Raw genomic sequence first — 6,240 nt, 5'->3', positions numbered from 1 at the left:
TCAGATGAGTAGATTGCAAACATTTTCTCCCATTCTGTAGGTTACCTGTTCACTCTGATGGTAGTTTCTTTTGCTGTGCAGAAGCTCTTTAGTTTAATTAGATCCCATTTGTCAATTTTGGCTTTTGTTGCCATTGCTTTTGGTGTTTTAGACACAAAGTCCTTTCCCATGCCTATGTTCTGAATGGTATTGCCTAGGTTTTCTTCTAGGGTTTTTATGGTTTTAGGTCTAACATTGAAGTCTTTAATCTATCTTGAATTAATATTTGTATAAGGTGTAAGGAAGGGATCCAGTTTCAGCTTTCTACATATGGCTAGCCAGTTTTCCCAGCACCATTTATTAAATAGGGAATCCTTTCCCCATTTCTTGTTTTTGTCAGGTTTGTCAAAGATCAGATAGTTGTAGATGTGTGGTATTATTTCTGAGAGCTCTGTTCTGTTCCATTGGTCTGTATCTCTGTTTTGGTTACTGTAGCCTTGTAGTATAGTTTGAAGTCAGGTAGCATTATGCCTCCAGCTTTGTTCTTTTTCCTGAGGATTGTCTTGGCAATGTGGGCTCTTTTTTGGTTCCATATGAACTTTAAAGTATTTTTTTCCAATTCTGTGAAGAAAGTCATTGGTAGCTTGATGGGGATGGCATTGAATCTATAAATTACCTTGGGCAGCATGGCCATTTTTATGATATTGATTCTTCCTATCCATGAGCATGGAATGTTCTTCCATTTGTTTGTATCCTCTTTTGTTTTGTTGAGCAGTGGTTTGTAGTTCTCCTTGAAGAGGTCCTTCACATCCCTTGTAAGTTGGATTCCTAGGTACTTTATACTCTTTGAAGCAATTGTGAATGGGAGTTCATTCATGATTTGGCTCTCTGTTTGTCTGTTATTGGTGTAAAGGAATGCTTGTGATTTTTGCACATTGATTTTGTATCCTGAGACTTTGCTGAAGTTGCTGATCAGCTTAAGGAGATTTTGGGCTGAGTTGATGGGGTTTTCTAAATATGCAATCATGTCATCTGCAAACAGGGTCAATTTGACCTCCTCTCTTCCTAATTGAATACCCTTTATTTCCTTCTCCTGCCTGATTGCCCTGGCCAGAACTTCCAACACTATGTTGAATTGGAGTGGTGAGAGAGAGCATCCCTGTCTTGTGCCAGTTTTCAAAGGGAATGCTTCCAGTTTTTGCCCATTCAGTATGATATTGGCTGTGGGTTTGTCATAAATAGCTCTTATTATTTTGAGATATGTCCCATCAATACCTAGTTTATTGAGAGTTTTTAGCATGAAGGACTGTTGAATTTTGTTGAAGACCTTTTCTGCATCTATTGAGATAATCATGTGGTTTTTGTCTTTGGTTCCGTCTATATCCTGAATTACGTTTATTGATTTGCATATGTTGAACCAGCCTTGCATTCTAGGGATGAAACCCACTTGATCATGATGGATAAGCTTTTTGATGTGCTGTTGGATTCGGTTTACCAGTATTTGATTGGGGATTTTTGCATCGATGTTCATAAAGGATATTGGTCTAAAATTCTCTTTTTTTGTTGTGTCTCTGCCCGGCTTTGGTATCAGGATGATTCTGGCCTCATAAAATGAGTTAGGGAGGATTCCCTCTTTTTCTACTGATTGGAATAGTTTCAGGAGGAATGGTTCCAGCTCCTCTTTGTACCTCTGGTAGAATTCAGCTGTGAATCCGCCTGGTCCTGGACTTTTTTTGGTTGGTAGACTATCAGTTACTGCCTCAATTTCAGAGCCTGTTATTGGTTTATTCAGGGATTCAGCTTCTTCCTGTTTTAGTCTTGGGAGGGTGTATGTGTCCAGGAATTTATCCATTTCTTCTAGATTTTCTGGTTTTTTTGCATAGAGGTGTTTATAGTATTCTCTGATGGTAGTTTGTATTTCTGTGGGATTGGTAGTCATATCCACTTTATCATTTTTTATTGCATCTATTTGATTCTTCTCTCTTTTCTTCTTTGTTAGTCTTGCTAGCAGTCTATCAATTTTGTTGATGTTTTCAAAAAACCAGATCCTGCATTCAATGATTTTTTGAAGGGTTTTTTGTGTCTCTATCTCCTTCAGTTCTGCCCTGATCTTAGTTATTTCTTGCCTTCTTCTAGCTTTTGAATGTGTTTGCTCTTGCTTTTCTAGTTCTTTTAATTGTGATGTTAGGGTGTCAATTTTAGATCTTTCCTGCTTTCTCTTGTGGGCATTTAGTGCTATAAATTTCCCTCTACACACTGCTTTAAATGTGTCCCAGAGATTCTGGTATGTTGTGTCTTTGTTCTCATTGGTTTCAAAGAACATCTTTATTTCTGCCTTCATTTTTTTATATACCCAGTAGTCATTCAGGAGCAGGTTGTTCAGTTTCCATGTAGTTGAGCGGTTTTGAGTGAGTTTATTAATCGTGAGTTCTAGTTTGATTGCACTGTGGTCTGAGAGACAGTTGATTATAATTTCTGTTCTTTTACATATGCTGAGGAGTGCTTTACTTCCAACTATGTGGTCAATTTTGGAATAGGTGTGGTGTGGTGCTGAAAAGAATGTGTATTCTGTTGATTTCGGGTGGAGAATTCTGTAGATGTCTATTAGGTCTGCTTGGTGCAGAGCTGAGTTCAATTCCTGGATATCCTTGTTAACTTTCTGTCTCACTGATCTGTCTAATGTTGACAGTGGGATGTTAAAATCTCCCATTATTATTGTGTGGGAGTCTAAGTCTCTTTGTAGGTCTCTAAGGACTTGCTTTATGAATCTGGGTGCTCCTGTATTGGGTGCATATATATTTAGGATAGTTAGCTCTTCTTGTTGAATTGATCCCTTTACCATTATGTAATGGCCTTCTTTGTCTCTTTCTCTCTTCTGATCTTTGTTGGTTTAAAGTCTGTTTTATCAGAGACAGGGATCACAACCCCTGCTTTTTTTTGGTTTCCATTTTTTTGGTAGATCTTCCTCCATCCCTTTATTTTCAGCCTTTGTCTGTCTCTGTACTTGAGATGGGTTTCCTGAATACAGCACACTGGTGGTTCTTGACTCTTTATCCAATTTGCCAGTCTGTGTCTTTTAATTGGAGCATTTAGCCCATTTACATTTAAGGTTAATATTGTTATATGTGAATTTGATCCTGTCTTTATGATGTTAGCTGGTTATTTTGGTCATTAGTTGATGCAGTTTCTTCCTAGTATCAATGGTCTTTACAATTTGGCATGTTTTTGCAGTAGCTGGTACCAGTTGTTCCTTTCCATGTTTAGTGCTTCCTTCGGGAGCTCTTGTTAAGGCAGGCCTGGTGGTGACAAAATCTCTCAGCATTTGCTTGTCTGTAAGGGATTTCATTTCTCCTTCACTTATGAAGATTAGTTTGGCTGGATATGAAATTCTGGGTTGAAAATTCTTTTCTTTAAGAATGTTGAATATTGGCCCCCACTCTCTTCTGGCTTGTAGAGTTTCTGCCGAGAGATCAGCTGTTAGTCTGATGGGCTTCCCTTTGTGGGTAACCCGACCTTTCTCTCTGGTTGCCCTGAACATTTTTTCCTTCATTTCAACTTTGGTGAATCTGACAATTATGTGTCTTGGAGTTGCTCTTCTCGAGGAGTATCTTTGTGGCATTCTCTGTATTTCCTGAATTTGAATGTTGGCCTGCCTTGCCGGGTTGGGGAAGTTCTCCTAGATAATATACTGAAGAATGTTTTCCAACTTGCTTTCATTCTCCTCGTCACTTTCAGGTACACCAATCAGATGTAGATTTGGTCTTTTCATATATTCCCATATTTTTTGGAGGCTTTGTTCATTTCTTTTTATTCTTGTTTCTCTAAACTTCTCTTGTCACTTCATTTCATTCATTTGATCTTCAGTCACTGATACCCTTTCTTCTAGTTCATCAAATCGGGTACTGAATCTTGTGCACATGCCACGTAGTTCTCATGCCATGGTTTTCAGTTCCATCAGGTCATTTAAGGTCTTCTCCACACTGTTTATTCTAGTTGGCCATCTGTCTAATCTTTTTTCAAGGTTTTTAGCTGCTTTGCGATGGGTTCGAATATCCTCCGTTAGCTCGGAGAAGTTTGTTATTACCCATCATCTGAAGCCTTCTTCTCTGAACTCATCAAGGTCATTCTCCATCCAGCTTTGTTCCATTGCTGGCAAGGTGCTGTGTTCCTTTGGAGAAGAGTTGCTCTGACTTTTAGAATTTTCAGGTTTTGTGCTCTTGTTTCTCCCCATCTTTGTGGTTTTATCTACATTTTGTCTTTGATGATGGTGACATACAGATGGGGTTTTGGTGTGGATGTCCTTTCTGTTTGTTAGTTTTCCTTCTAACAGTCAGGCCCCTCAGCTTCAGGTCTGTTGGAGTTTGCTGGAGGTCCACTCCAGACCCTGTTTGCCTGGGTATCACCAGCAGAGGCTGCAGAACAGCAAATATTGCAGAATGGCCAATATTGCAGAACAGCAAATATTGCAGAACAGCAAATGCTGCCTGATTGTTCTTCTGGAAGCTTTGTCTCAGAGGGACACCCGGCCGTATGAGGTGTTATTTGGCCCTTACTGGGAGGTGCCTCCCAGTTAGGCTACTCAGGGGTCAGAGACCCACTTGAGGAGGCAGTCTATCCATTCTTAGATCTCAAACTCCGTGCTGGGAGAACCACTACTCTCTTCAAAGCTGCCAGACAGGGACACTTAAATCTGCAGAAGTTTCTACTGCCTTTTGTTCAGCTATGCCCTGCCCCCAGAGGTGGAGTCTACAGAGGCAGGCAGGCCTTCTTGAGCTGTGGTGGGCTTCTCCCATTTTGTGCTTCCAGGCCGCTTTGTTTACCTACTCAAATCTCAGTAATGGCAGATGCCCCTTCCCCAGCCTCACTGCCACCTTGCAGTTCGATCTCAGACTGCTGTTCTAGGAGTAAGCAAGGCTCCATGGGCATGGGACCCTTTGAGCCAGGCGTGAGATATAATCTCCTGTTGTGCCATTTGCTAAGACCATTGGAAAAGTGCAGTAAGTGCAGTATTAGGGTGGGAGTGATCCGATTTTCCAGATGCTGTCTGTCATGGCTTTCCTTGGCTTGGAAAGGGAATTCCCCAACCCCTTGCACTTCCCAGGTGAGGCGCTGCCTCACCCTGCCTTGGCTCATGCTCTGTGGGTTGCACCCAGTGTCCTGCACCCACTGTCCGACAAGCCCCAGTGAGATGAACCCGGTACCTCAGTTGGAAATGCAGAAATCACCCGTCTTCTGCGTTGCTCAGGCTGAGAGCTGTAGACTGGAGCTGTTCCTATTCAGCCATCTTGGAACCTCCCGCCGGGGTACTGTTTTTTTTGTTAGCCCAATCTTACACTGCTATGAAGAAATACCTGATGGCTGTGTACAGTGGCTCATGCCTGTAATCCCAGCATTTTGGTAGGCCAAGGTGGGTGGATCACGAGGTCAGGAGTTCAAGACCAGCCAGACCAACACCGTGAAAACCCTTCTCTACTAAAAATACAAAAATTAGCTGGGTGTGGAGGCGTGTGCCTGTAATCTCAGCTACTCAGGAGGCTGAGGCAGGAGAATTGCTTGAACCCGGGAGGTGGAGGTTGCTGTGAGCCGAGATCGTGCCACTGCACTCCATCCTGGGTGACAGAACTGACTCCTTCTCAAAACCAAAGAAAAAGAAAAAGAAATACCTGAGATTGGGCAATTTATAAAGAACCTGATTCTGCAGCTTTACAGGAAGCATGGCACCAGCATCTGCTTCAGGGAAGCCCTCAAGAAGCTTTTACTTATGGCAGAAGGTGAAGCAGGAGGAGGGACTTCACATGGCAAAAGCAGGAGTGAGAGAGAATGACGAGGATAGTGGGGAGGTGCCACACACTTTTAAATGACCAGATCTAATGAGAACTCACTATCATTAAGACAGCACCAAGCCATGAGGGATCCACCCATGATCCAAACACCTTCCACTAGGCCCCACCTCCAGGACTGGGGATTATAATTCAACATTAGATTTGGGCAAAGACAAATAGCCAAACTACATGACTGTATAACTAATTGTTTGGCATGAAGTACCAGCTTGATAACTGAATGAGCATAGGATGTGAAGACATAGTTTAGGGAAAAAAAAAAATGCCATTATAGTAAGTTCTGTCTGACTTGAACATCCTGTGGGAAGAGCATTTATACAAGTATGGATTTATACAAGCATTTATACAAGTATACTCAGTATTTATACAAGTATGGAATATATTATACTGAAAAATTAAAAAGTGTAGCATCAACAGTTTG

The 6,240-nt window shown here is 41.5% G+C and overlaps 1 annotated feature.

Annotated features, from left to right (window-relative positions):
• Positions 4,835–5,049: a silencer, noted in NCBI's record as "fragment chr11:40005787-40006001 (GRCh37/hg19 assembly coordinates)". NCBI's record gives its function as "represses an EF-1alpha promoter that drives an FKBP-Casp9 reporter gene in an ReSE screen in phorbol 12-myristate 13-acetate-treated (for megakaryocytic differentiation) K562 erythroleukemia cells {active_cell/tissue: K562(+PMA)}" and the evidence as "EXISTENCE:reporter gene assay evidence [ECO:0000049][PMID:32094911]".

The sequence above is a fragment of the Homo sapiens genome, chromosome 11, assembly GCF_000001405.40.
Source record: "Homo sapiens chromosome 11, GRCh38.p14 Primary Assembly".
NCBI classification, from domain to species: Eukaryota; Metazoa; Chordata; class Mammalia; order Primates; family Hominidae; genus Homo; species Homo sapiens.
Note: the sequence above shows the minus strand (reverse complement) of the source record. Positions and strands in the feature narration are given on the sequence as shown.